The 27,755-nt window shown below is 49.0% G+C and overlaps 2 protein-coding genes, 2 long non-coding RNA genes and 1 pseudogene across 7 annotated transcripts, besides 4 other annotated features; 2 read left to right on the top strand and 3 right to left on the bottom strand.

Moving 5' to 3' along the window:
• The first annotated feature begins 1 nt into the window (after position 1).
• On the top strand, positions 2-1,455 carry SAPCD1-AS1 (SAPCD1 antisense RNA 1). Its single transcript, NR_126423.1, has 2 exons — positions 2-51; positions 870-1,455. It is a non-coding gene; the product is annotated as an SAPCD1 antisense RNA 1 (long non-coding RNA).
• Positions 740-2,934, bottom strand: SAPCD1 (suppressor APC domain containing 1). The gene is made up of 5 exons (NM_001039651.2): positions 2,422-2,934; positions 2,035-2,175; positions 1,431-1,526; positions 1,235-1,324; positions 740-1,154 (listed from the first exon to the last, which is right to left on the bottom strand). The coding sequence occupies exons 1-5, from the start codon at positions 2,533-2,535 to the stop codon at positions 1,059-1,061; spliced, it is 537 nt and encodes a 178-aa protein (NP_001034740.1). The 5' UTR covers positions 2,536-2,934; the 3' UTR covers positions 740-1,058.
• On the bottom strand, positions 740-25,642 carry MSH5-SAPCD1 (MSH5-SAPCD1 readthrough (NMD candidate)). The gene is made up of 29 exons (NR_037846.1): positions 25,528-25,642; positions 24,977-25,136; positions 24,304-24,427; positions 22,633-22,713; positions 22,420-22,482; positions 21,565-21,686; positions 21,291-21,451; positions 21,009-21,044; positions 20,271-20,353; positions 18,158-18,203; positions 12,151-12,289; positions 11,961-12,023; positions 7,297-7,425; positions 6,970-7,042; positions 6,715-6,824; positions 6,413-6,493; positions 6,078-6,165; positions 5,615-5,804; positions 5,374-5,500; positions 4,751-4,900; positions 4,328-4,402; positions 3,975-4,118; positions 3,635-3,772; positions 3,405-3,478; positions 2,422-3,170; positions 2,035-2,175; positions 1,431-1,526; positions 1,235-1,324; positions 740-1,154 (listed from the first exon to the last, which is right to left on the bottom strand). It is a non-coding gene; the product is annotated as an MSH5-SAPCD1 readthrough (NMD candidate) (long non-coding RNA).
• Positions 1,785-2,340: an enhancer, noted in NCBI's record as "H3K27ac-H3K4me1 hESC enhancer chr6:31731027-31731582 (GRCh37/hg19 assembly coordinates)". NCBI's record gives its function as "activates a minimal SCP1, AML or CMV promoter by ChIP-STARR-seq in primed H9 embryonic stem cells {active_cell/tissue: H9 hESC(primed)}" and the evidence as "EXISTENCE:reporter gene assay evidence [ECO:0000049][PMID:30033119]".
• On the bottom strand, positions 2,914-25,585 carry MSH5 (mutS homolog 5). 4 transcript variants are annotated; one of them, NM_002441.5, is made up of 25 exons: positions 25,370-25,585; positions 24,977-25,136; positions 24,304-24,427; positions 22,633-22,713; positions 22,420-22,482; positions 21,565-21,686; positions 21,291-21,400; positions 21,009-21,044; positions 20,271-20,353; positions 18,158-18,203; positions 12,151-12,289; positions 11,961-12,023; positions 7,297-7,425; positions 6,970-7,042; positions 6,715-6,824; positions 6,413-6,493; positions 6,078-6,165; positions 5,615-5,804; positions 5,374-5,500; positions 4,751-4,900; positions 4,328-4,402; positions 3,975-4,118; positions 3,635-3,772; positions 3,405-3,478; positions 2,914-3,170 (listed from the first exon to the last, which is right to left on the bottom strand). In NM_002441.5, exons 2-25 carry the CDS (start codon positions 25,121-25,123, stop codon positions 3,059-3,061), a joined length of 2,505 nt encoding a protein of 834 aa, NP_002432.1. In that variant the 5' UTR covers positions 25,124-25,136; positions 25,370-25,585; the 3' UTR covers positions 2,914-3,058. The 4 variants fall into 4 exon arrangements, with proteins under 4 accessions (NP_002432.1, NP_079535.4, NP_751897.1 ...); NM_025259.6 differs by having other exon boundaries at positions 3,725-3,772; positions 4,328-4,405; positions 21,291-21,451; positions 25,528-25,585; NM_172165.4 differs by having other exon boundaries at positions 4,328-4,405; positions 25,528-25,585.
• Positions 8,537-8,639, top strand: RNU6-850P (RNA, U6 small nuclear 850, pseudogene; annotated as a pseudogene).
• Positions 24,881-25,512: an enhancer, noted in NCBI's record as "NANOG-H3K27ac-H3K4me1 hESC enhancer chr6:31707855-31708486 (GRCh37/hg19 assembly coordinates)". NCBI's record gives its function as "activates a minimal SCP1, AML or CMV promoter by ChIP-STARR-seq in naive H9 embryonic stem cells {active_cell/tissue: H9 hESC(naive)}" and the evidence as "EXISTENCE:reporter gene assay evidence [ECO:0000049][PMID:30033119]".
• Positions 24,883-25,101: a silencer, noted in NCBI's record as "fragment chr6:31708266-31708484 (GRCh37/hg19 assembly coordinates)". NCBI's record gives its function as "represses an EF-1alpha promoter that drives an FKBP-Casp9 reporter gene in an ReSE screen in K562 erythroleukemia cells {active_cell/tissue: K562}" and the evidence as "EXISTENCE:reporter gene assay evidence [ECO:0000049][PMID:32094911]".
• Positions 25,513-26,143: an enhancer, noted in NCBI's record as "NANOG-H3K27ac-H3K4me1 hESC enhancer chr6:31707224-31707854 (GRCh37/hg19 assembly coordinates)". NCBI's record gives its function as "activates a minimal SCP1, AML or CMV promoter by ChIP-STARR-seq in naive H9 embryonic stem cells {active_cell/tissue: H9 hESC(naive)}" and the evidence as "EXISTENCE:reporter gene assay evidence [ECO:0000049][PMID:30033119]".

The raw sequence follows: 27,755 nt of genomic DNA, 5'->3' as shown, positions 1-27,755 counted from the left end.
ACGGGCTCTAAAGGGATGGGTCTCCAGCACTATTTTCAACCTGCCCCATTGGTAAGAAGACCTGGGACACATTTGTCACATAGGTCTTAGGACCTTACCTCTCCTAGCTGGGATGAAGGTTTTCTCTTTTTTGTTGTTGTTGTTTTTTTTTTGAGATGTAGTTTTGCTCATTGCCCAGGCTGGAGTGCAGCGGCGCAATCTCGGCTCGCTGCAACCTCTGCCTCCTAGGTTCAAGCGATTCTCCTGCCTCAGCCTCCCAAGTAGCTGGGATCACAGGTGCCCGCCACCACGCCCGGCTAATTTTTTGTATTTTTAGTAGAGACAGGGTTTCACTATGTTGGCCAGGCTGGTCTCAAACTCCTGACCTCAGGTGATCTGCCTGCCTCGGCCTCCCAAAGTGCTGGGATTACAGGCGTGAGCCACCGTGCCCAGCCAATGAAGGTTTTCTTTCTCCATCACATCCCTTTCCTTTCTTAGAAACTTCGAGACTGGGGCTGGGTGCAGTGGCTCACGCCTGTAATCCCAGCACTCTGGGAGGCTGAGGCAGGAGGATCACTTGAGCCCAGGAGGTTGAGGCTGCAGTGAGTTGTGGTCGAACCACTGCACTACAGCCTGAGCGACAGTGAGACCCTATCTCAGAAACAAAACAAAACAAAACACCCTGCAAGACTGGGATAGAGGGCAATGGATATTCCCACAATGCACTTTTCCTAACCCTATGAGAAACAAACCAAAGACATTTTTGGAGAAAGCTGCTTTCTGGAGCAGTTTCAGTTTTATTTTTGTATTTAAGGCTGAAGGACAGTTTCAATAAACATGCTTCTTCCCAGAGGGATTTCAAAGAAAGATCGTTTTTGCATGTCATATAGGGGAGAATGAGGACATGAGACACCAAGAAGATGAAGTTTTCAGGAGCAGAGGAGAAACTTTACACCAACATGTCTGAACTTCATTGACTCACTACCTGGAGCCATTTTTTAGCTGTTGAGTTAAGAAACAGAAAAAGGAGCCTGGGGCTTCTGACTCTTTCACCAGGCTTAGGGGAGTGAGAGGAGGGTTTAGACACGGGTAGGGCCTCTTGGCCCCTTGGTGCAGCCCCGCTGAGCCATCTCCTCCTTTGGCTGGGTGACTCCTTTCTGCTGCCTTGACAACTCCTGGAGGAGAAACAGATGGGGCCTCTGGGCTCCTCCCAGCCCTGTAGGGTGGGGCTCCTGCCCTCCTTCTTGAAGTTTACCTGTTGCTGCCACAAGTTCTGCTCCCTTCGTCTTTCCTTTGAATCCTGGGTGGTGCAGGAACTAGCCTTGTTCAGTGGACTTGGGGAGAACTGGAGGGGAAATTCGCTGTGTTTTCTGTTAAGCCAGCACTGACCCCAACAACTCCCCTCTCTAGTCCAACTTCCCAAAAGTCTAAACTGAAAACAATAAACTCACCTTCTCATGAATCAGATTCTGCAAACAGATGTTCACCTTTTGAATCTGGGCTAACGGGGGGCGACCAGGCTCTGAGTGTAAATCTGTTAGAAAATTCTAGAGGAGGAGTTGGAGGCTGACAACATGGTGAAAACCTGAGGTCGTCTGCCACTCTATTCCTGTCACCACAGGCCATCCCTCTCATCTGGATCCCCTCGTCCCAGTACCCTCCCAGGCAGGTGGGAAAATCCAGTACTCTCCACCTCCATCTCTTTAGCACATCAGTTCCTCCATCTCCCTCAAATAGCACAATACCCCCTTTCACTACTCTTCATGGAGCCTCCCTGTCCATCCCTGCCCCATTGGAATAATCCAGGCCACACCCTCATCTCCATGGAGTGATCCAAATCCCTCTGAATGGAATGCAGACCAGCTTCCTCCAGCCCCAACAATGAACACCAACTTAACACTTGGTGGCATCCTGTCATTACGATGCTGCCTCCAACTCATGATCCCTGACCATTAACTCTCCCCTCTCCAGAGTGGTCTCAGGCTGTGTCTACACATTCCCTGTTCCTCCCTCCCTGGTCCTCCCCCCATTCACACAGAGGGGCAGCCCCCATACCTCACCAAGGGCCCCTAGATGCAGCTGCTGTCGCTGTGCCTCCCTCAGATGGTCTTCAAACCAGGCCTGGCCATGCTGTAGCAGCTCCAGACCCTGCCACAGGGCATCCTGTTCTCTCTCCAGAGCCTGCATCCTGCGTAGCTGGGAAAGGCAATCACAGAGGCTGACTCTCACGCCACAGTAGGGCTCTGGGTTATGGCCCTTTCTCTCCACCCCTAGTTGGGTTCACTGTGTGGTCACTGAGTGTGAACCCAGACTGGCCACTGAGGACCTGGAGGGCAAGGGGAGGCAGGCGGGAACACTGTGGGCCCTCAAGTTGAATGGAAATATAAAGGGCAGATCTATTGAGAGAGTTCCCCTGGGACCTCTTGTTGGGCTGATACTCACCCAAAGGAAGAAGCTCTGGGCCCCTGGGTCTTGGCGGCTTGTCCCCAGCGGCAGCAGCAGGACTGTGTAGGGAGCCTGCACCAAGGGCACCCCGCCAGAGCCCTGGCTCCCCATGGCTCTGAGGTGGGAAGGGTGGAGCCACTCCCACTGGTGCAGCCCGGGCTGGTCCCTCCCCTCCACCCCTGCCTTGCACCCATCCTGCCTCTGTCAGCCTCTCAGGCCCCTTCCTGCTGTGTCTGTCTGAGGCTGGGGTGTTCCTACTTGAGAAGAGAGACCATCTCCCTTGGACCCCTCTGTCTTCCCTCTAATCTGTTTTGTAGGGCCTCTCTGAAGGGGTTCGTTCTCATGAAGTATCCTGGGGTAGAATCCGGGAGTCTTCCTACAGCAACAACACTGTATTTTTACTGAGGCAGGGCAGGTTCCCCTGTGGACTCCTGCTCTGTGTTTTGGATCTTTCCTAGTCTCTTGTTTTGAGACTAAAGAAACAATATCTTTCTTCAAAATAAACTTTATTCCTAATATGAAACAAAATTTCTAGAGAAACTAAAAACTCTGCGTCTGAGGGAGATAAGGAAACAAAGAGGGCATGGCAGCCCACCGGAGTCTCAGGAGGCTGGGGAGGACACTGGAAGGACTCTCAGAGGATGCTGGTGGCAGCAGGCAGCACTTCCTGGCTCATGAAAACGTTCAAGTCCAGGTTAGGATCTTCCAAATCCAGTTTCATAAACTTATCCACTAATGTCTGGCAACTGAAGAAGAGAGAAAATCGCAAGATTTATGGCAGAATGGACAACCAAATCCCTGGGCAGAGGGGAGAGGCTGTGGCACAGAAAACCTGGGATCTTGAAGATTTAGGGATTTCAGAAAGAAATGGTGGGTTTCTGAAGGGCAAAGTGCTGGAGGAAGGCTGAGTCCCTGAAAAGGGGAGAAGAGTTGCAGGAGAAGATGCAGAGAGGGTAAAGACACTGGGGCCATATACGCACTTTTCCATTTGGTTCTTCTTTAGCAAATCCTTGACAGGCTTGATGGGTTTTCCACTGCGGATCAAGTCTGAGACCTAGGAACAAGCAAGAAGGTGGGAGGAGTAAGGGGAGTGGGGAAGAGAAGGGGAAATAAGGGTCAGAAATCCTGTGGACCTAGACCCAGGCCCAGTAGGACTAGGAATGAAAGGGAGCTCTGATGTGGAGGTGGTTGCACATTTGGATCTCATCACCTCCTTGCCACGAGCCACAAGCTTGTCAGGAAGCCCAGCCTGGGCAGCTGTGTGGGAGGCATGGCTGGCCTTCGCAACACCTTCGCAAACCTGATAGAAGAAGACAAGATCGTTGCCATCCTCACAGGTCTCCATGGTCTTAAAAGAGAATAAAAGACAGTGTATCATCAATCACCTCCTTCCTGTCCTGAAACCCTTGGCCAATCCTGTGGGGAGGGAGAAAAGGGAAGGGATGTGGTCTCTGTGCTGAGGGAGCCCTTGTTCTGATAGAGGAGCCAATCCCCACCTCTGGGAAATGCCCAGCCTGGGGGTCCCCGAGGAGCTAGATTGGTCTCCTCACCAAATACTGCACCAGGGGCCCTTGTGGCAGCAGTTGTAGCTGAACAAGGCTCAGAAAGTTGGTGGCCACAAAGATGTGGGGGCATGTGGGTCCACGTGCCAGCCAGTGTCGGAGCACAGCGGCCAGAAGCGCGAGCCCATCCACCTGCAAAGAGGGCAGAGGTTAGCATTCGGAGCCATGGGGACCCCATATGCCCCTCTGCACTTGCACTGCCTTTCCCTGTCTCGTGTTCTATTTCTTTTCTGCCCACACAGCCCTATTCCATTCCAGAGGCCCAGCCTCACTGTCATGCTCCTTCATCCTCCTCCATTTTCCCCTCCTTAGTTTCTCCCCTCATCAGTTTCTCCCCTCACCGTGTTGGTTCCCTTTCCAAATTCATCAATAAGGACCAGCGACTGTGCAGTGGCATTGTTCACTGCTTTCGCCACCTGCTGGGTATAAGGTGGACAAGGGAAAGTTAGTATTGGAAGCCCGTAACGCACTGACCACAGTTGGCCTGTGAATAAAGCTGTATACATGCCCTCCCTACTGCACTGCAAGTTCTTGAATGGTGAGGTGCACGCTTTGTTCATCCTCTTTGCCAACAGTGACTCACATGAAACAAGGGTTCAAGAAATGTTTATGGTATTGATTCTTCTTATCTCTGACCTTAGTGCTCCCCACTTTTAGTATAAAGGGCATGCAGCAGAGGGCATGCTTTCCTGTTATGAGCATTTTCAGGGGTTCCTTTCCCATTATCCCCTTCCTCAATCCCACCTCCCTTTGTTCCCTTTGACCTGGTTGAGGTCGATCATGAAGGTGGAGAGGCCAAGGGAGATGGATTCGCAGCTATGAATTCGTGTGAAGATGGCGTCTACTGCCCCAATTTCGGCCTCCTCTGCTGGCACAAAGCTGCCTACCAGGGCCATGAATGTGATCAAGCCTACCTGAATAGGGAAGGAGACAGGGCCTGGGGCCTGGTGCCGTGGGCTGAGGTGAAAGTGAGGCTCAAGGCATGAATGGCACATCAAAGAGAAATGGACAGGGTGAAACAGGAGAAATAGGTAACAGACACACTGACTCTGTCTCTCCTCCCCGAATCCTGACCATAGCCCTGTGGGCTAATTTAGAATCAGTGAAGAGGCACGGGACGTGGGCAGAGACATACTTGGGAGTGGTGTGTACCTACTCAGAGGCAGGTGAAGGAATTTGGGCCACGGAAAGTTCCATTAGAGCATGGCTCTCCAGTGGAGAATAAGAACATGTGAGGTGGAAGCACAGGGATGTGGGTGATGGTCCTTTCATGAAGAGCGGGGTCAGAAAATGGGAGAAGAGCTGCAGGAGCCTGAGTTGGCTGGCAAGTAGGGGTGGAGTAGATGCAGGAGACGCCAGAGGCCCAGGCTGCAGGGCTTCTCCTCACCTGTTTGAGGTATATGCTCTTCCCTGATGAGTTGGGTCCAGTGATGACTTTGACCCTCCCTTTGTCCCCACCACATTCTGTGGAGTTGGGCACAAAGGTTCGGGCACAGAGTTCCATCAGAGGATGTCTGCAGTGGGCGGAGAGGCACCTCGCATGGCTTGTGGATCAAGATAGATGAACCCCCAGAAGATGTAGCCTTTGGGCCCCTCATGTCTATTCCTCCACCCGCCTCTATTCTTACCTGCCATTCTGGATTCGTACCCCAAGGACTTGTGGGGAGTAACGCGGCCTTGAGTAGCCATAGTCCCGGGCAGCACTGGCAAGAGCCAGCAGGACGTCCAGGCGGGAGGCAAGGTCCAATACTCGGGTTAAGACAGCTGCTCGTGCCAGCACCTGGCACTGTAGCTGGTACATCAGCAGCGTCTCCTGGTCTGGGAGTGGGTGAGGAAGGGAGCTGGAGGTCAGTTCCAGGGGAAAGTGAAGGAGAGGCAGAGGCCCCTAGGGGGATCTGGAAACAGGTTGCAGATACAATCTGAGACCTCAAGACATTCAGAGGAAAAGATAGAGTCAGAGTGAGCGAGACAGAGAGCAGGAAGAGGAGGGGCCTGTTGGAAGCATCCCCAAGTTGCCCACTCCCCTCCTTCCCCTGGCTGCTGCTTTTTTTAAACATCTTACAATGCATATAACCTCTGGCTTTTCCTCACCCCGGATCTCGCAGTGCAGGTCCCCCAGCAATGCATCCAGCTCCTTGGTTCGGGCACTACGATAGTGCAGCTTCTCCTCTGAGAGAAACTGGGTACAGGGGTTCAAAGCTGTGGACTTTGCATCTCTTGGTCCTCCTCTCCTTCCCCATCTTTCTAACCCCACCTCCAGCCCCTAACTCTGACTTCTCTTTCCTTTGTCTCAGTGCTGGTAAAGCTCAGAGTAAAACTACAGAGGAGAGATCCCATATTGGGCAGTGCTGCTGTAGAGTAACGCTCTTCCTCAGCTGCTGACTCATTTTCCTCATCACTCACCTTACAGAGGTTGAGGGTCTTACCATGAAGTCCAGTCCATTAATCTCAAAGTCACTGGCCTCTACCATGGAAGGCAGGCGGGGAATAGAAAGAAGGAAGCCAATCTGGGGAGAGTAAAGAGGAGATACTCTACTCTCCTGCTTGGAGACTTACTGGACACCTCCCCACCCTAGAGGGAGCTTAAAAGATCCCTGTATCCCCACAAAAAAGTGTTCATGTTCTTCAGGCTGCCCCACAAGTTTTCTTATCTACCAGTATGTCTTTCATAAGCCTAATATCTCCCCCAAAAGACATCTGAAGGCTACACCCACTCTCCTGCCCTCACCAGAGGGATGTAGATGACACTGCATGAAGGAATACGGGAGTCCAGATTCTCCAGCTCCTTGCGGGCAACCTCAGTAAGGAAACTGGGAAGTCCCATCAGTCTTCGCTTTTCTACGAGGGTGGAAGACACGTGGTTATCAAAAGTGAGTCTCCTGCCCTGGTTGCTATGAAGATCCCCAGCTGTGGTGACCACCTGCCAAGGATGGTACTCCATCACTGCGCAGGGCTCACAGGCCCATCCACACCCAACACTCACTCTCATCAATTTCAGGATCTATGTTGGGGAGGACTGTGAAGCGATTTTCAGCAAGGCTGCCCTCAAAGTCCACCTGAGGAGATAAGTACTGTTTCTTAGGACCTGGCACCCTCTGTCCTGTTCCTCAGCTCTCCTTGGGCCCCAATTCTCCCTGCAGTCCTCCTTTAACTCTCACCCTCCAGATACTTCCCTGAAGTTCTGCTGCCTCCTCCCACCATCCCATTCTTTATCCAATTGACCTCAATATCTTCCATGTTTCCCCATCTTGCACACTGCATTCTCTCTCCCTGACCTCCCTGGGTGCACTCCCTTTTTCCTTCTACTCACTACTTTCCCAATGAGGCTGGCGATATGGTGCAGGTCATCAGAGAACTCTTGGGCAATGTCCCGAAAGAGCTGGATGGACTGCGGCAGGGAGCGGCAGGCATCCCTCAGGCCCAGGGCACTGTACACAGTCTGTGAGAGAAACACAAAAAGGAGGACAGGCCACATCCAGCTCGGGTTGAGGTGGTGATAGGGACAGACTCAGAAGAACAAAGACCAGTAGGGAAGATCACAGTAACAAAGAGGGAAGATCTCAAAGGCAAAAAGAAACAGTGAGAGGCACTGTACCAAACACTGAAACTACAAAGACAATTAAGATATGGTCCTGGCCAGGCACAGTGGCTCATGCCTGTAATCCCAGCACTTTGGGAGGCTGAGGTGGGTAGATCACCTGAGGTCAGGAGTTCGAGATCAGCCTCACCAACATGGTGAAACCCTGTCTCTACTCAAAATACAAAAATTAACTGGGCTTGGTGGCATGCACATGTAATTCCAGCTACTTGGGAGGCTGAGGCAGGAGAATCTCTTGAACCCGGGAGGTGGAGGTTATAGCCAGATCACGCCATTGCACTCCAGCCTGGCCGACAGAGCGAGACTCTGTCTCAAAACAAAACAAATAAACAAAAAAAGATATGGTCCCTGTCCCAGATGTGCTCACAGTCTAGGAAGGAAGACAGAAATACATGCAGAAGATTTAAAAGTGAGGTGGTAGGTGCTTTGATAGAGGGTTGTGCAAACTCTAAAACAAAGGAGTTTGTACAGAGTCGGGAGAAAGAGAAATATAGCTATAAAAGGCCATGAGTCTGTAATGATACAAGAAGAACAATGACAAAAAAACCTCATCGGCTATCAGGGCCGGGCGCGGTGGCTCACACCTGTAATCCCAGCACTTTGGGAGGCTGAGGCGGGTGGATCACGAGGTCAGGAGATTGAGACCATCCTGGTTAAGAGGGTGAAACCCTGTCTCTACTAAAAGTACAAAAAATTAGCCAGGCGTGGTGGCGGGCGCCTGTAGTCCCAGGCACTCAGGAGGCTGAGGTAGGAGAATGGCGCGAACCCGGGAGGCAGAGCTTGCAGTGAGCCGAGATCGCGCCACTGCACTCCTGCCTGGGCAACAGTGCAAGACTCCATCTCAAACAAACAAACAAACAAACAAACAAAAAACAAAAAAATCTCATGGCTATCTTGGAGAATGTTAGGGAACTAATTTACCATATTGATAGCTAGTAAATAAAGGTGGGGGGTGCTCATTTCTGCAGCACATATACTGAAATTTCGAAGGTTACAGGGATTAGCACGGCCACTGGGCACGGATGACACAAATTCAAGAAGCGTTCCATATTGGGGAAAAAAAAAAGGGCTGGGCATGGTGGCTCACACCTGTAATCCCAGCACTTTGGGAGGCCGAGGCGGGTGGATCACGAGGTCAAGAGATCAAGACCATCCTGGCCATCATGGTGAAACCCTGTCTCTACTAAAAATACAAAAATTAGCCAGGCATGGTGGCACACGCCTATAGTCCCAGCTACTCGGGAGGCTGAGGCAGGAGAATCACTTGAAACCCAACCCGGGAGGTGGAGGTTGCAGTGAGCCAAGATTGTGCCACTGCACTCCAGCCTGGTGACAGAGCAAGACTCTGTCTCAAAAAAAAAAGAGTGGGGGAAATATCAAGCAATTTTCTGTATTTCTATATGATTTCTATCACTTGGCAACCAAATAGTACATAAAAGGAAGTTTCTCTTTACAGAAATTTCTGGCTAATAAATGAAGAAAGAATCAGAGATTTAAATGCTACTACTTTGTAATTGCTAAAGAATTAATAGATGGCTGGGTGTAGTGGTTCACGCCTGTAATCCCAGCACTTTGGGAGGCTGAGGCGGGTGGATCACCTGAGGTCAAGAGATCAAGACCATCCTGGCCAACATGGTGAAATCCCGTCTCTACTAAAAATACAAAAATTAGCTGGGCGTGGTGGTGTGCGCCTGTAAGTCCCAGCTACTCAGGAGGCTGAGGCAGGAGAATCACTTGAACTCAGGAGGCGGAGGTTGCAGTGAGCCAAGATCGTGCCACTGCACTTCAGCCTGGCGACAGAGGGAGACTCACCTCAAACTAAATAAATAAATAAATAAATGAATAATAGATTTAGGTATTAAACATCAGAACATTTGCCAACATCAGAAAAAGAGAGACAATCGGACATATCAGACATTATGTTCCTCTACTTCTAAAACAGTATTGAAAAAAAAAAAACTCTGAACCTAATCATGCTTCTAGAACTAAATATTAATTTACAGAAACTATAGAAGAGAGAGAAATGTGCCAAAAACATCTAGGAAATGCAAACAGCAAAATCCAGGCTAATGGAAAACACTATAAGACAAATAATAATCTAGTTTCTTCAACAAATTGCCAGGAGAAGAAAAAGAGAAAAAGAAAGAAAGAACAAGAGAGAAAAGATAGAGAAGGAACCGGTAGATTAAAAAGGACTAGGGCCATCATCTGACTGGGCATCGTGGCTCACACCAATAGTCTCAGCACTTTGGGAGGCCCAAGCAGGAGGATCACTTGAGCTCAGGAGTTTGAGACCACCTTGAGCAACATAGTGAGATCCTGTCTCTACAAAAAATAAAAAATTGGTCAGGTGCAATGGCTCACGCCTGTAATCCCAGCACTTTGGGAGGCCGGGGCAGGCAGATCATCTGAGGTCGGGAGTTCGAGACCAGCCCGACCAACAGGGAGAAACCCTGTCTCTACTAAAAATACAAAATTAGCTGGGCGTGGTGGCACGCACCTGTAATCCCAGCTACTTGGGAGGCTGAGGCAAGAGAATCACTTGAACCCAGGAGGTGGAGGTTGCGGTGAGCCGAGATCACACCATTGCACTCCAGCCTGGGCTACAAGAGCAAAATCCCGTCTCAAAAATAAATAAATAAATAAATAAATAAATAAATAAATAAATGCAAGCAAAAAATAAAAACTTAGTTCGGTGTGATGGCCATCACCTGTGGTCCCTGCTACTCAGGAGGCTGAGGGGGGAGGATCGCTTGAGCCCAACAGTTTGAGGCTGCAGTGAGCTACAATTGTGCCATTGCACTCAAGCCTGGGTGACAGAGTGAGACCCTGTCTCAAAAAAGAAAAATTTCAGATATTTGATGATACCAAATAATACAATTTTTAAAGTAAGATAACAATACTGTTATTCTTTTTAAAAAATAATTTTCTTTTAGAAATTACCCTGAAATATTGGCCGGGTGAGGTGGCTCACGCCTGTAATCCCAGCACTCTGGGAGGCCGAGGCGGGTGGATCACGAGGTCAGGAGATCAAGACCATCCTGGCCAACATGGTGAAACCCTGTCTCTACTAAAAATACAAAAAAAAAACTTGGGCATGGTGGCATGTGCCTGTTATCCCAGCTACATGGGAGGCTGAGGCAGGAGAATCGCTTGAACCTGGGAGGCGGAGGTTGCAGTGAGCCGAGATCATGCCACTGCACTCCAGCCTGGTGACAGAGTGAGACTCCATCTCAAAAAAAAAAAAAAAAAGAAAAAAGAAATTACACTGAAATATTTATGGATGAAATGATATAATGGCTGGGACTTGCTTCAAAATAATCCAAGAAAGCCAGGTGCAGCATCTCAGGCTTATAGTCCCAGTTACTCTGGAGGCTAAGGTGGGAGGATTGCTTGAGCCCAGAAGTTAGAGGCTGCAATGAAATATGACTGCACCACTCTGCTCTAGTATGGGTGACAAAGCAGGACCTTATTTAAAAAAACAAACAAACGACAACAAAACCCACAAAATAATCCAAGAGGGGAAAGTAGAAAAAGATATAGATGACACATACTAGGCTGGGCACGGTGGCTCCCACCTATAATCCTAGCACTTTGGGAGGCCGAGATGGGCAGATCACTTGAGGCCAGGAATTTGAGACCAGCCTGGCCAACATGGTGAAATCCCATCTCTACTAAAAATACAAAAATCACTCCAGTGTGGTGGTGGGCACCTGTAATCCCAGCTATTTGGGAGGCTGAGGTAGGAGAATCACTTGAACTTGGGAGGCAGAGGTTGCAGTGAGCCGAGATCGCACCACTGCAATCCAGCCTGGGCGACAGAGCAAGACTCTGTCTAAAAAAAAAAAGAAAAAGAAATAAAAAAAAATTGGCGTAAGTTAAAGTGTTGAAACTGCATGGTGGGTACATGGGGGTTAATTATATTATTCTAAATATTTTTTACATTTTCCTGAATACAAAGTTAAAAAAAAAAAGAGGGAGGCCGGGCCTGGTGGTTCACACCTGTAATCCCAGCACCTTGGGAGGCTGAGGCAGGTGGATCACCTGAAGTCAGGAGTTCAAGACCAGCCTGGCCAACATGGTGAAATCCTGTCTCTACTAAAAATACAAAAATTTGCCAGGCATGGTGGCGGGCGCTTGTAATCCCAACTTCTCGGGAGGCTGAGGCAGAATTGCTTGAACCCAGGAGGCGGAGGTTGCAGTGAGCCAAGATCGCCCCATGGCACTTCAGCCTGGGCGACAGAGCGAGGCTGTCTCCAAAAAAAAAAAAAAGAGGGTAGAATAAAATTGGACAGCATGTCTAGGGTACAGACAGTCTGGAATACAGGCTGAGGGCCTTTACCTGGACTTTTGGGATTCAAGAAGGAAGGCCTTACCTTGTAGAGAACCTGCCAGTCGCTGACCTTGGTGTGGGACAACTTCATGCGTTTCAGAATCAGCTACAGTCAGACAAGGTTACAGCCGCTGTTTTCTCTTCCCTCACTCTAATGCCCCTCAAGAAGCCCACTGCCCAGTATCAGCCCTCAACCTCCTTCCCCACCTCCCTGCCCTCCACCCTGGGCTCACAGGCACGTTCTTGATGTGACCCAGGAGCCGATGCAGCATCTGAGCCATGTCCAGATTCTGGGGCAGCAGAAAAAACTGAATGACGTCCAGACGAGAACTGAGCTCCCCCAGGTCATGAGTCGGACGTGTGAACCATAGCCTGGAAGTGAGGGTTTGGGTGGGGGTACTACAAGTTACATCTATCATCTTGATCTCAGTTTGCCAAAAAGTGTGCTTGCAGTCCCTGGGGATTGTGGCAATATGTATCCACGATGTGCTATGGGAATGTAGTGGCAAGTGCAGTGTCCTACCCATTCAGGTGTGTTTACATGTATCTACTGAAAATTGCTAGATGTGAGCATAATTGTGTCTACATATCACAGTTTCAACGGATAAGACCGTGTGTCATTCCATGTATATAAGTAACGGAGCTTGTCAATATTTTAGAAGGAGAGCAGTGTGTTGAGGTATTTGTGTGCCAACACTGCAGCTCACTCTGAGGCTGAGTAAGAGACGGTGAGTCAGTATGAGTTTGTATGTCTTTTTAGCTGTGAAAGTGTCTCTGGGTAACAGCAACAGACATTCATCTTTTCATATTCTTCCTGTGAAAACATAACTGTCCCATTAGGGATGATAAGCTTTAATTCATAATAATGGTCAACACTGCAGAGAAAAAAGGATTGGGGAGGGACATTTAAGGGGCTTCAACAACGTCTTATTCTTTCGTTTTTTTTTTTTTTTTGAGACAGAGTCTCGCTTTGTCGCCAGGCTGGAGTGCAGTGATGCGATCTCGGCTCACTGCAACCTCCACCTCCCGGGTTCAAGTGATTTTCGTGCCTCAGCCTCCCGAGTAGCTGGGACTGCAGGTATGCGCCACCATGCCCAGCTAATTGTTGTATTTTTAGTAGAGTCAGGGTTTCACTATGTTGGCCAGAATGATCTCGATCTCTTGACCTCGTGATCTGCCCGCCTCGGCTCCCAAAGTGCTGGGATTACAGGCGTGAGTCACCATACCCGGCCAATAGTGTCTTATTCTTTTTTTTTATTTTATTTTTTATATAGAGTCTTGCTCTGTCGCCCAGGCTAGAGTGCAGTAGCACAATCTTGGCTTACTGCAACCTCCACCTCCCAGGTTCTGGAATTACAGGCACCCGCCACTGTGCTCAGCTAATTTTTGTATTTTTAGTAGAGACGGGGTTTCACCATCTTGGCCAGGCTGGTCTTGAACTCCTGACCTTGTGATCCACCCGCCTCGGCCTCCCAAAGTGCTGGGATTACAGGCATGAGCCACCGCGCCCGGCATGTCTTATTCTTAAATTGGCTGATGGATATATAGATATTTGTATTATTATTATTATTTTTGAGATGGAGTCTTGCTCTGTCGCCCAGGCTAGGGTACAGTGGCGGGATCTCGGGTCACTGCAACCTCTGCCTCACAGGCTTAAGTGATTCTCCTGCCTCAGCCTCCCCAGCAGCTGGAACTACAGGTGTGTGCCACCATGCCCAGCTAAATTTTGTATTTTTAGTAGAGATAGGGTTTCGCTGTGTTGGCCAGGCTGGTCTCAAAATCGTGACCTCAGGTGATCTGCCTGCCTCAGCCTCCTAAAGTGCTGGAATTACAGGCATGAGCTACTGCGCCTGGCCATTTGTATTACTATTAATAGTTTTTATAGAGACGAGGTCTTGCTATGTTGCCCAGGCTGTTCTCAAGCTCCTGGCCTCAAGCAGTCCTCCTGCCATGGCCTCCCAAAGTGCTGGGATTACAAGCATAAGCCACTGCACCTGGCCCGATAGTATTATTATTTACATCTTTTTTTTTTTTTCTGAGACAGAGTCTTGCTCTGTTGTCCAGGCTGGAGTGCAGTGGTGCGATCTCAGCTCACTGCAACCTCCGCCTCCCAGGTTCAAGCGATTCTCGTGTCTCAGCCTCTGGAGTAGCTGGGATTACAGGGGTGCACCACCACTCCCGGCTAATTTTTGTATTTTTAGTAGAGATGAGGTTTCACCATGTTGGCCAGCCTGGTCTCAAACTCCGGACCTCTGGTGTTCCACCTGCCTCGGCCTCCCAAAGTGCTGGGATTACAGTCATGAGCCACCACGCCCGGCTAATTATTTACATCTTTTTGTGTGTTGGAGGTATTTCCTAATAAATGAAAATAAATTCAGGCCAGGTGCGGTGGCTCACGCCTGTAATCCCAGCACTTTGGCAGGCCAAGGAGGGCGGGTCACGAGGTCAGGAGATCAAGACCATCCTGGCTAACGCGGTGAAACCCCGTCTCTACTAAAAACACAACAAAATTAGCCGGGCGTGTTGGCGGGCACCTATAGTCCCAGCTACTCGGGAGGGTGAGGCAGAATGGTGTAAACCCGGGAGGTGGAGCTTGCAATGAGCCAGGCCACTGCACTCCAGGATGGGTGACAGAGTGAGACTCTGTCTCAAAAAATAAATAAATAAATAAAATAAATTCATATACAGAAATAAATGTCTCATCTGTGTTTGTCTAATTCCGGGTATCCCTGTATACTTATTGGCCATGAGAGTGTGAGACTCTGTAGGGACTTGTGAGCCCACAAATTCTTTTCTACATAGAACAAGTACTAAGGATGCCATCTTATATAAGAGCCAACATGTGCACACACTAGGTCCTGAAGATTTGTATCTTACATTGCAGTCTGTGGCCAGTTACTTTGGGTTAGAACACCCCAGATTTGAATGAAGCGGAGCATCCAGATGGCTTCAAGGGTGGGTTTCAGGTACCTCTGCTCCTTGGTCACTGAGGGCTCCCACCAGAACAGTGTAGGCCAGTCTGTAAATAGCCATCCCCACTTTAGAAAGCACATGCGCTGCACTAAACACTTAGGTATCTCTGACTCACGCCCTGCTCGTACTGGGAGAGACTTTAGTTAAACCAAACTGTAAATTTAACAACTGAGAAAATGAAACCGTTAAAAGATAAGCAACTTGCCCAAAGTCATACCGCCAATGAGAACAGCTAAGTCTCAAAATCATGTCTCCAGACTCCTAGGACAGTGCCCTTTAGAGCATACTGTGACATTCAGTCATATTCTTGGTGCCTGTACAGCTTTTAGTTCTTGAACTCCTGGCCTCAAGCAATCCTCCTGCCTCAGCCTCCCAAATGCTGGGATTATAGGCGTGAGCCACCACATCTGGCCCTATATTATTATTTACATCTTTTTGTACGTTAGAGGTATTTCCTAATAAATTAAAATAAATTCGTATACAGAAATATTAATAAATATGTCACCTGTCCTTAGTTCATTAGATTATATGATGATTCTTCAAGTTATATGATCTCATGCCCTGTCTGATTCCATTTGGGGAATACGCATTCCTCCCCGACCTTAAATCCAGCTCTCTTCTCCACTGAGAATTCTCTCCCTCCCATCTGTGGCTGAGATTAAAGATCTGCACCTGAAGCACTGAAGAATGTGTGGGTAATTAAATTACCCTGCCGATTCCTGGAGATGCTGATTACCTGGAGATGACCTCAGAGATTATCCTAAATTAACTCCTACAAGATACATATTGCAGCGGGAGGTGAGGTAGGGGAAGGATTGTGCACCTGAGGCTAGCAAAGGTTTCCACTCTGTTTAGAGATGATGTCACCAGTGCGTTTACATTTGCGTTGTGTTCACACATTGAGTGCTACTATGTACAAGACCATGTGTCAGACACTGAGGTAACAGGTATAGCTACTAGATAGAGTTCATAGCTATGGAGGCAAGCAGATTCACTGACTGCTAATTCTAACATGATGTGACAGTGCAACTAGAAAAACATAAACAAGCACTATGTGAGCACAAAGAAGGTGCACATCAACTCCTTACAGGTACCTGTAAAAGCCAAAGGGTAACAGTTGGATTGCACCTTGAAGAGGATGCACTTTTTTTTTTTTTTAAGACAGAATCTCACTCTGTTGCCCAGGCTGGAGTGCAGTGGGGCAATCTGGGCTCACTTCAACCTCTACCTCCCGAGTTCAAGCAATTCTCCTGCCTCAGCCTCCTGAGTAGCTGGTACTAGAGGCATGCGCCATGATGCTGGGCTAATTTTTGTATTTTCGGTAGACGTGAAGTTTCACCAAGTTGGCCAGGCTGGTCTTGAACTCCTGACCTCAAATCATCCACCCACCTCAGCCTCCCAAAATGCTGAGACTACAGGCGTGAGCCACCGCGCCTGACCTGGATGTAAGATTTTGATAGGTACAGAACAAGGAAAAGACTTTCCAGGCCGGGCACAGTGGCTTATGCCTGTAATCCCAGCACTTTGGGAGGCCGAGGTGGGCAGATCACGAGGTCAGCAGTTCAAGACCAGCGTGGCCAACATGGTGAAATCCCATCTCTACTAAAAATACAAAAATTAGCCAGGCATGGTGGTGGGTCCCTGTAATCCCAGCTACTCCGGAGGCTGAGGCAGGAGAATTGCTTGAACCTGGGAGGTGGAGGTTGCAGTGAGCAAAGACCGCGCCACTGCACTCCAGCCTGGGTGACAGAGGGAGACTCCGTCTCAAAAAAAAAAAAAAAAAGACTTTCCAGAAGGAGCAGCATAAACACAGGCATGACATGTTTCCATAATGGCAAGTGGCCCTAAATGACTAGAATATAAGGTAGATCCAGTAGGAAAGGACTTAGAAGGGGCTTTGGAAGGTGAGTCTGGAAATTAAAACTGGGGTAAACGTGATGGACCCTGAACATCATTATACTGCTTAAGATGCTAATCTTAATCCTGAAGGTAATGGGAAAACCTCCTAAGGTTTATGTTATTTTCTTTCTACTTAGGCTATTTAAAAAGTGGAGTGACGGCCAGGCGCAGTGACTCATGCCTGTAATCCCAGCACTTTGGGAGGCCGAGGTGGGCGGATCACCAGGAGTTCGAGACCAGCCTGACCAACATGGTGAAACCCCGCCTCTACTGAAAATACAAAAATTAGCCAGGTGTGGTGGTGGGCGCCTGTAATCCCAGCTACTTGGGAGGCTGAGGCAGAAGAATTGCTTGAACCCGGGAAGTGGAGGTTGCAGTGAGCAGAGATCGTGCCATTGTACTCCAGCCTGGGCAACAAGAGCGAAACTCAGTCACAAAAAAAAAAAAAAAAAAAAAGGAGTGACATGCTTAGATCTCTGTTTTGGAATGACAGGTTTTTTGTTTCTAGCATCAATCCAAGGTTCATGGCTTGAGAAGGTGTACTGCCAGCAATGCCATTAACCAGCAAAGGGAATGCAGGAAGAGGAACAGATCTGGTGGGCATCAGTTTGGATGCTCTGAGTTTGAGCTGCCTGTGAAAACTGCAGGTGGTGATATGCAATTAACATTCACATACGGAGTTCAAAACTAGAGACACAAATTTGAGAGTCATCACAGAAATGTGAAGTGTGTTTTCTATAACTAAAGATAACCATGCTAACATAGCCATGTGTTACATTAGCATTTTTTTTTTTTTTTGAGACGGAGTCTCACTCTGTTGCCCAGGCTGAAGTGCAGTGCACAATCTTGGCTCACTGCAACCTCCACCTCCTGGGTTCAAGCGATTCTCCTGCCTTAGTCTCCTGAGTAGCTGGAATTACAGGCACCTACCAACACGCTTGGCTAATTTTTGCATTTTAGTAGAGATGGGGCTTTACCATGTTGGCCAGCTGGTCTCAAACTCCTGACCTCAAGTGATTCACCCACCTTGGCCCCCCAAAGTGCTGGGATTACAGGTGTGAGCCACTGTGCCCGGCCTTACATTTTGTGTTTTTTCCTGCTGCTTGTATGTGTGCAAGTCTGTGTATCATCAATGGGTATATGTGTACCTGCGCTGACAACAAAAAATGAGATGCATATCAGCTACTACACAAAGCTGTTATAAGGATGAAATGCAGTTAGCCAGTGCTCAGTAAAGGGCAGTTGCTTTACTACTACTAGGTGGGGTGGTGTATGTGAGAATCTGTATACTGCCATTAGTAGGCTTTAGTATGTAGTGTGCATATGGAATTCATGCATTAGTGTGTAGTATGTGTGGGACCCACTCACCTGAGCAGCTTCTCTCCCCACTTACAGTGGCATCTGTTGAGGATTCCTGTGAGGGATAAGGCAGGGAGTGAACTTGTTACAAGGCAGGGACAGGGAATGGAATGTGTTTATGTGTCTAAGCTGAGGCATCCAGGTCAGAGGTGCTGGTTGTTGAGGAAGCTGGCCTGGGAGGGCACAAAGGCAGCCAAAGCTGGTGCCTGGCCACAAATATGAGCTGGGATTACCGTACATGGAGATGGGGGAAGGGATGGACACTCACAGGGACACTTAGCCAGAAAAATACACAAAGCAGACCTAGTTAAAACTCAAGAACTGGCCAGGCACGGTGGCTCACGCCTGTAATCCCAGCACTCTGGGAGGCCGAGGCAGACGGATCACGTGGTCAGGAGATCGAGACCATCCTGGCTAACATGGTGAAACGCAGTCTCTACTAAAAATACAAAAAATTAGCCGGGCATGGTGGCAGGCACCTGTAGTCCCAGCTACTCGGGAGGCTGAAGCAGAATGGCATGAACCCGGGAGGCAGAGCTTGCAGTGAGCGGAGATCGCGCCACTGCACTCCAGCCTGGGTGACAGAGCAAGACTCCGTCTCAAAACAAAACGAAACAAATAAACAAACAAACAAAACACAAAAAACTCAAGAGCCCTCCCGCCCCTCCAAAAATACAAAAACTCAATAGCTGGCCGGGCAGGGTGGCTCATGCCTATAATCCCAGCACTTTGGGAGGCCAAGGCAGGAGGATCACTTGAGCTCAGGAGTTTGAGACCAGCCTGGGCAACATGGCGAAACACCATCTCTACTAAAAATACAAAAAAATTAGCTGGGCATGGTGGTGCAGGCCTGTAGTTCCAGCTATTCAGGAGGCTGAGGTAGGATGAGGCAGAAGAATCACTTGAACCCAAGAGGCGGAGGTTGCAGTGAGCCTAAATTGTACCACTGCACTCCAGCCTGGGTGACACAGCAAGATTCCATCTAAAAAACAAACAAACAAACAAAAAACTCAAGAGCCCAACACACATATGTAAAAAACTGGACGGCCGGGCGCGGTCGCTCATGCCTGTAATCCCAGCACCTTGGGAGGCTGAGGCGAGTGGATCCCCTGAGGTCAGGAGTTCAAGACCAGCCTGGGCAACATGGTGAAACCCCGTCTCTACTAAAAATACAAAAATTAGCTGGGCGTGGTGGCAGGTGCCTGTAATCCCAGTTACTCAGGAGGCTGAGGCAGGAGAATCGCTTGAACCCAGGAGGCAGAGGTTGCATTGAGCCGAGATCGCACCATTGCACTCCAGCCTGGGGGACAAGAGCGAGACTTCGTCTCACACACACACACACACACACACACACACACACAAAACTGGACACAACTGGCCAGGCGCGGTGGCTCACGCCTGTAATCCCAGCACTTTGGGAGGCCGAGGTGGACGGATCACGAGGTCAGGAGATCGAGATCATCCTGGCTAACACAGTGAAACCCGTTCTCTACTAAAAATACAAAAATTAGCCAGGCATCGTGGTGGGCACCTGTAGTCCTAGCTACTCAGGAGGCTGAGGCAGCAGAATGGTGTGAACCCAGGAGGCAGAGCTTGCAGTGAGCTGATATTGCACCACTGCACTCCAGCCTGGGCGACAGAGCGAGACTCTGTATCAAAAAAAAAAAAAAAAAAAACCTGGACACAACTTACTGAGATATGAAACTATATGGATATTTGCGGAGATGTCCCTAATATACCCTAAAGCCAGAGACAACTGATAAAGACTCTATACAAATCAAATAGGCAGTTATGCAGTTACAAAACTCTTCTCTATACACAAGGTCTCCCAAAGTCCCTAACAGGTACCCAACTAGTAGAAACATTCATACAAACCCAGGGAAGGAACACAGAATTGGTAAAGTAATGGCTGATATGCAACAACACTGTACAGCCACAAAGTATGGGAAGATGCTCAAGCTTGGGGGGCGGGGGGTACAAATAGGTAAGAAATTTGGATTGGCATGAAAGAGATATCTGACAATGGGAGTGAAGTGGGAAGGGAGGCTGGGACACATCTTTGGAGCCAATTGCTTTTCTGGTAGGTCTTTGTAATGTGAGATGAGGGATGGGGCACACCTACCAAAGAGGCTGAGCCCCTCCTTCAGTCCACTGGCCACTTTGTACACTGAGGGGTGAGACTCACTCTTAAAAATCTGTAGAACACTGTCGAGGAGAAATGGAGGAGTTTGGGGTAACTTGGACTTTTGAAGGGAATAAGAATTGAGGACTGATAAATGGAATGGGGACAGGGGATATCCTCCTGAGATCACGTCTTTTTTTTTTTTTTTTTTTTTTTGAGATGGAGTCTCGCTCTGTCGCCCAGGCTGGAGTGCAGTGGTGCAATTTCAGCTCACTGCAACCTCTGCCTCCTGGATTCAAGCAATCCTGCCTCAGCCTCCTGAGTGGCTGGGATTACAGGCGCACAACACACCCAGCTAATTTTTATATTTTTAGTAGAGACGGGGTTTTACCATATTGGTCAGGTCTCAAACTCCTGACCTCAGGCGATCCACCCGCCTTGGCCTCCCAAAGCGCGGGGATTACAGGCATGAGCCACCGCGCCCAGCCGAGATCATATCTTGATGTAAGGTTTGTCCCTTACTTTTCTTTGCCTCAGTTTCTCCCTATAGAAAAGAAAGCTAGTATCTTTATGCTTTTCTTCCTCTCTTTCCCTCAAAACCCCCCTTCCCTTTCCTTCAAGGAGAGAGATCTTAATAGCCCCAGGATTAGGGAAACTAGAGCCTCATTAGGATTATTGGGGCATTAAACTTAATCCTTCTCCCTCCCCAGAGACAGCAGCATGCCTCCACCTCTTTACCTGTAAGTGTCTTGATCTATGTTCACCAGATGAGTCCTGAGGACAGAAAACAAAAAAGCAGGAAGCAGTCTGAGTTCGTTCCACAACTCCACTTCCTTTGTCCCCCTCTCTGAATATTGTCCCAGTCTTCTTCCCAAAGTCTCATTAGCCCTTAGATTCTCCCGGGTGTCCTAGAGCACTTGACCCACTGGGTCACAGCCACATCCACACCCCACCCCCACTTTACTTTTCAGGCCTCCCAATCCCACATTACTTTGGTTGGGGTTGGGGTGAATCACCTACAACATAAATTTCTTAAAGCCCAGGATGGGGACGCTGACATTATAGTCTTCCAGTTCAACCCCGATTCTTCTTCGACCCAGGAACTTCAGCAGCCCTCCAAGTGCTCGAACCTGGGAGGGGATCAGCAGTGGAATCGGGGTAAATCTTAAATCTCCTGGGGGCTGCAGAGCACCAGGGAAAGTTACTATTTTCCAGGGCTAGGCCAGTACCTCCCAGAATTCAGCCCTAGCACTTGTGCCGCCTCCCAGCCCTTATCCCCCAGGACCAATCTCACTGTGAGGAGGCAGTCAAAGGGAATAATGGAAGAGAGGAAGAGGATTTTCTCAGTGGCAGTCATGGCGTCTGGGATGAAGGAGTAGTTTCCAGAAAGGAGGCGTTGTTTGCTTATCTCCAGACCTATTTGAGGGAGGCAAGCAAAGGGAACGGTCTTGTAGCTCAATTTTTTCACCCCATTTTAAGAATGAGACAATAGAAGCAAGAGAGATTATTTGACTTGCCCAAGCTCACACAGGCAGTTAATGGAAAGCTAGAGCAAGAACCAAATTTTCAGACTCTTAGTCTAATTCTCTTTTTATTCTACATATAATATAAAGATACTTGTCTGAAAGCACAGCCTGAGAAAGATAAATGGCTGAGGAAAGTAGACATCTGTCTGGAATTGAGGATTTTGGTCAAAATAATGGTATTAATAGAACTAGTAACACTAATGCCTTAATATCTAATTAGGATAGTACACTCCTGTTCTTATTGTAAACCTAGGAAAGTTATAGAAGTGCCTTATGGATCATAATAAGGGTCACTGAGGCAGTGCCTTTTGGTTTGGTGATAAAAGGCTTTAACTTAATGGGGAGAATTCCAACAATAAAACCCTGTCCAAAAAGTGTCACCACTCCTCAGGGGAGGCCCTCATCCCTAGACATGACTTAAGCAGAGGCTTCCCAATAAGCTGCAGGTTATTAAAGGGTAGGGAGCAGGAGAGATCTTGGGGGGACAGGTCATAGGGCATGAGGAGCACAAAGGTTTAGGATGACATAAGGCAGAGGGGAGATCTGTGATGATGAAGGTAGAGTTGGGGGAAAGAATGGGACACCGGAACAGGGAGTTAGGCAAAGCAAAAGGAAGGAGATACCAAAATCCACACTTGGCAAAAATATGATTTCAGGTCTTTTAGGCTCTCTGTGCTCCTGGGAGGCTGTGGGGGAGGAAAGAAAAGGCTATCATTCTTTACATCTCAGTCCTTCTACCTCTGTCTGACACTCCCTCTCACCCAATTCTAGCCCCCTGGAATATTCCATATATTAGTCCTTCCCCATTTTCCCTCTATCCTTTACCAAGTCCTTACCAAGCTTTCCCAGAAATCGAGTCATATTCTCATCCTGTTTGGCACTCGTAACAACAGACTGGGGATTGATCTCATCCAGAACTTGGAAGGAGAACAGAGATCAAATGAGTTAAAGGATCTTTGTCTTTGACTAAGAGAAAACCCATAGCCCTCCTCTTCCTACCCCTCTCCTTCTCAAAAACATTTCCTCCCTAGGAGTAGGGAGTGCTCTGCACAGTGGGAACACAGGTAGAAGTTGAGATTTAGAAAAGTAGTTAAGAGTGGTGGGATGGTGAGAGGGAAGTGGGATGTTCTGGATGTTGTCACTAGGCTGTAAACCCCTGGAGAACAGACATGACTGATTTGCCCAGGGCTGAATCTGAAGCACCTGAAACATTGTAAATACGTCATATATATTTGTGGCCAGGCACAGTGGCTCATGCCTATAATCCCTGCCCTTTGGGAGGCCAAGGCAGGCAGATCACTGGAGGCCAGGAGCTCAAGACAAGCCTAGCCAACGTGGTGAAACCCTGCCTCTACTAAAAATATAAAAATTAGCCAGGCGTGATGGCAGATTCTTGTAATCCCAGCTACTCGGGAGACTGAGGCAGGAGAATTGCTTGAATCCGGGAGACGGAGGTTGCAGTGAGCCAAGATGGCACCACTACACTTCCAGCCTGAGTGACGGAGCAAGACACTGTCTCAAAAAAGAACAACCAAACAAACCAAAAAACAGCCTCACAAATATTTGTTAAATAATGAAATGAATTCATAAAAACAAAAGAGGGAGCCTCTGTGAAGCAACTGTAAAATATATTGAGTCAGTGCTATAGTTTGGATGTGATTTGTCCCTGCCAAATATCGTGTTGAAATTTAATCCCCAGTGTGATAGTGTTGTGAGGTAGGGCCTAGCAGGAGGTGTGTGGGTGATGGGAGTGGATCGCTCATGAACAGATTAATGCCCTTCCTGGAGTGTGTTGGTGGGTATGAGTGAGAGGTTCTCACTCTATTAGTTCCTGAGAGAGCTGGTTGTCAAAAAGAGCCTGGCATCTCCCTCCCCCTTGCTTCTTCTCTGCCATGTGACCTCTACACACCCTGCCTTCCCTTCTTCCATGAGTTGAAGCAGTCTGAGGCTCTCACCAGTGAAGATGCCCAATTTTGAGCTTTCCAACCATCCAGAACCATAAGCCAAATAAAACTTTTTTTTTTTTTTTAACAAATTACTCAGAGTCAGGTATTTCCTTACAGCAACACAAAATATGCTAGACAGTGAGGTGAGTTAATGTAAGTAAAACATGGCTGGGCGTGGTGACTCACACCTGTAGTCCCAGCACTTTAGGAGGCCAAGGTGGGCGGATCACAAGGTCAGGAGTTTGAGACCACCCTGGCCAACATGGTGAAACACCGTCTGTGCTAAAAACACACACAAAAAACTAGCTGGGTGTGGTGGCACACGCCTGTAGTCCCAGCTACTCGGGAGGTTGAGTCAGGAGAATTGCTTGAACCCAGGAGGTGGAGGCTGCAGTGAGCCAAGATTGCGCCACTGCACTTGAGCCTGGGTAACAGAGCAAGACTCTGTCTAGAAAAAAAAAATATGTGTGTGTGTGTGTGTGTGTGTGTGTGTGTGTGTGTGTGTGTGTGTAACACATCTGCAATCCCAGAGAGCAGAGGAATTCATGGTTCCATCCCCACCTCTCTGGAGAAGCTTGAGGCTCTCGTGGTCTGGGGCATCTGGCATGAAGTGGATAGTGGAGTCACTAGTATCATAGTAGGCAATGCCCAAGTATCCTGAATTCCACAGCACACACAGATGGATCTGTCCAGCAAGGAAGAAAGGAAATCACTATTAGAATCACTCATAAGTGTAGGGTTTACCATGTCTTATATAATTTAATCATTTTCTCAAATCTCTGAGATAGGCATCATCACCCCCATTTAGTGAATGTGAAACAGCCACTCAGGAGGTAAGAGACTTGCCCAGCTCTTCCCAACCCTGTTTTTTTTTTCTTTCTTTCTTTGAGACGGAGTCTTGCTCTGTCGCCCAGGCTGAAGTGCAGTGGAGCAATCTCAGCTCATTGCAACCTCCGCCTCCCGAGTTACAGTGATTCTCCTGCCTCAGCCTTCCCAGTAGCTGGGATAACAGGCACGTGCCACCACGCTCGGCTAATTTTTATATTTTTAGTAGAGACGGGGTTTCGCCATGTTGCCCAGGCTGGTCTCCAACTCCTGAGCTCAGGTGATCCGCCCGCCTCAGTCTCCCAAAGTGCTAAGATTACAGGTGTGAGCCACCGCGCCCGGCTCCCAACCCTCTTTTATTCTAACTTCCCATCAACTCTCCATTCAAGTTTCTACTCCCCTCAGAGACCTCGGCCAGCTCCTCCTCCTCCTCGACTTCCTCCTCCTCGGCCTCCCTGGGGCCCGGCACTGGGGCCGGGCTGGGGAAGCCGGAGGAGGCCGCCCCAGGTCTCGGTCCCTGCGGTGTCCTCCTTGGGTTCGCTCCTAAGGAGGCCATGAGCTTGGAGGCTCTGCGGATGCAAAAAGTGAGGGCGGTTCGGAAGCAACGATTCACAGAGGAGGCCGGGGTAGGGTGGCGCGCAGAATGCAAAGCACTAAGTACTTCTGCTACAGGGCTGCGGGGCAGGGCTGAGGGGCGTGGAGAGCTGTGGACACAGGAGGTGAATTCTCGGGTATTTAACTAAAGTACAGATTGTGGGAAACTCCACGCGCCCCACCCTCATTCCTGTCACGCGGAGGTTACCCTTTGGAAGGAAGGGGTCTGAGGGCCCTGTGGGGCGAGTCGTGCACGTCTTATGTCTCTGCCTCTGCCAACCACGCGCCAGGACCCCAGCCTCACGCGCTTATCTTCCTCCTCCCCCAGCTGCCGCCATCGCAGCGTTTTCCCGCCTTTTCAGTAACCTGAGTCGCTACAGGTGGGAGAACGCCCCGCTGACCGACCGCCACGAGCCTGCAAAAGGAGCGCGCCGGCGCGTGAGCGAGGTGCGCGCGCACGCGCCCCGCCCTCCTAACCGCTGTTGATTGGAGAGGCCCGGATCCAGCCTAGAGATCCGACAGGGCGAGGAGGAGAAGCGGACTGCCGTAGCTGAAGAGTCTGGACGCTGATTGGCCTATTTGCCTTCGGGGCGGGTCCAGAACGTTCAAACTTCCCGCCCTCTGCCGTTGCTTAGCAGCCGGGCCTCTAGCACTCACTGTTTCTGGGATTTGATTGGCGCAGTGGGAAGCCCGCGAGAAGGTCGGACCAGGGTCCGTAGTCCCAGTCCCTGGAAGGGGTTTGGGACCGTTGCGGGGGTTTTGAGGGGGAGGCCAAACTTAAAGAGCCAGAGGCGCTTATTTTTTTTCCTGCAACAACTCTTAAGTTAATATTTGTACCCTCTGAGTTAATATTTATACAGAGCTTAGAACAGTGCCTGGCAAACAAAGTAAGACCTAAATGAGCGGTGTTTCAAATAAATAAGCGGAAACAAGCAGGACTTCTGTCTCAGCCCTACCGTGCCTGTTTCCTGGGTACAGGGTATGACCACCCCCATAATGGCACGACAGGGCCTAATTTATTATTTAAACCCTTCAAGCAGAGGTGGAAGCATTCGAATTACATCAAATTCTGGCAGAGAGAAGTAGTTCTGATCAGAACACTCACACCCCTACTGGGACATGCCCATACCCCTTCGCACTTCTACACACCCCTGAAGACAGAGAGGTATCTATCATTCATGCATTCGGCAACTATTTAGTGCCTATTTTGGGCCAGGGGTTGGACTCAAAGCGGTGAACATAATGAAGTCACTGCTCCATAAAGCTTATTTGTGCGTCTGTGTGTGTGTGTGTGTGTGTGTGTGTGTGTGTGTGTGTTGCGGGGGTGGGGTTATGAGGGAGAAAGAAAAAAAATATATATATATATATATATAATCCCTTTAAATGCACCATCCTCCCCAGCTTTGTTCCTAGTACCCTGAGATGGGGAGATTCCTCCCCAGCCCCCCAACCCAAGAAGTTAGGAAAGATGGTGGGGGTGAGATGACCTAGCTGTGCTAACCAGTAATTGGAAAATCCCCTCCAGCAAGAAAGGTGGGGGAACAGAGTTAAGGGCTGGGTTAATGGTTACCCCTGGCAAATCTGTTGAGCAATGGAGCTATAGAAACTTGGAGGAGGTTGGTGACAGCTCTGGGGAGTGTCAGGGAGGGACCCACCTTCCAATCTGGGGTGTGAAGAGATTAGGGACTAGTTTACCAAGCCCAGGAAGGGGAGGGAGTGGAAAGAGAAGCCCAGAGAGGGAAAGAGGAGCTACTGAGATAGGAGAAATGCAGGGACAGGGAGGTGAGATGGAGGGAAACCTCTGTTGCAGGATTTGGGGGTACAGCCCTGGCTCTGCTGGATGGTTCCAGGAGAGGGCAGCGTTGCCTGTCACCTGGTAAATTAAGGCACGATACCCTGTGGGTAGTCATGCCAGCCAGCCAAAGTCAATATTGATATCAAGGCAGCTGTAGCTATAAAGCTGTAGGAGAGAAAAGAGAGGCCGGGAGAGGCTGCCAAACCTGTTTGATCTTCAAGCTGGCCCCATTTACCTAAGGCTTCTCTTGGACACAGACCAGTTGGAACAGGAGAGGACCCTGAGAAGTAGAGTTGTTTTGATCCCCTCCCCTCAATGGGAAGGGGTCCTGTGTGCAGATTTTGAGGGTCACCATGAGGGAATTCACACCCACACAGAGGCATGGAATCATACCCTTACAGGATGTTACAGTTCAAGGGAACGAACACCAAAGATAGCCTTTCTGTCGGGAGGAGAGAAAAAGGCCCTCCCACAAGCAGGAGAAAACCCACAGAAGAGGAAGCACAAGAGGAAACCACCAACTGCTGGTTTCCAGCAGCACATCACGTCACTCCACCCCACTCCTCCCCCAAGTCTCTCCCTTTCTTTAAGTTTCAAGCTCTGTTTTAGTTCTGTGTTCTTGCACTCCACCATGGTTTTCTGGAACTGTAGGTCTTTTGTTGGACAGAGGGTGATGAGGAGGATAGAGAAGGGATGGTTGGACAGGAGAGAAATTCAGGATATGGAGGCTGGAATTCTGGGTTTATTTTTTCAGCAGGTCATAAAGGTTTAATAGAAATCAAGGTTACTGGAGAGAGAG

The sequence above is a fragment of the Homo sapiens genome, chromosome 6 (genome assembly GCF_000001405.40).
Source record: "Homo sapiens chromosome 6, GRCh38.p14 Primary Assembly".
In the NCBI taxonomy this organism is placed as follows: domain Eukaryota; kingdom Metazoa; phylum Chordata; class Mammalia; order Primates; family Hominidae; genus Homo; species Homo sapiens.
Note: the sequence above shows the minus strand (reverse complement) of the source record. Positions and strands in the feature narration are given on the sequence as shown.

Coding starts and splice junctions, on each gene's coding strand:
- SAPCD1 (NM_001039651.2), bottom strand. CDS start 2,535: ATGGGGAGCCAGGGCTCTGGCGGGGTGCCCTTGGTGCAGGCTCCCTAC. Junction 1,527..2,034: donor ATCTAGGGGCCCTTGGTGAG/GTATGGGGGCTG, acceptor CTCCTCCTCTAG/AATTTTCTAACAGATTTACA. Junction 1,325..1,430: donor AGAATCTGATTCATGAGAAG/GTGAGTTTATTG, acceptor TTTCCCCTCCAG/TTCTCCCCAAGTCCACTGAA.
- MSH5 (NM_172165.4), bottom strand. CDS start 25,123: ATGGCCTCCTTAGGAGCGAACCCAAGGAGGACACCGCAGGGACCGAGA. Junction 4,901..5,373: donor AGAGCATATACCTCAAACAG/GTGAGGAGAAGC, acceptor TTCCCTATTCAG/GTAGGCTTGATCACATTCAT. Junction 3,773..3,974: donor GGCCCCTGGTGCAGTATTTG/GTGAGGAGACCA, acceptor TTCTCTTTTAAG/ACCATGGAGACCTGTGAGGA.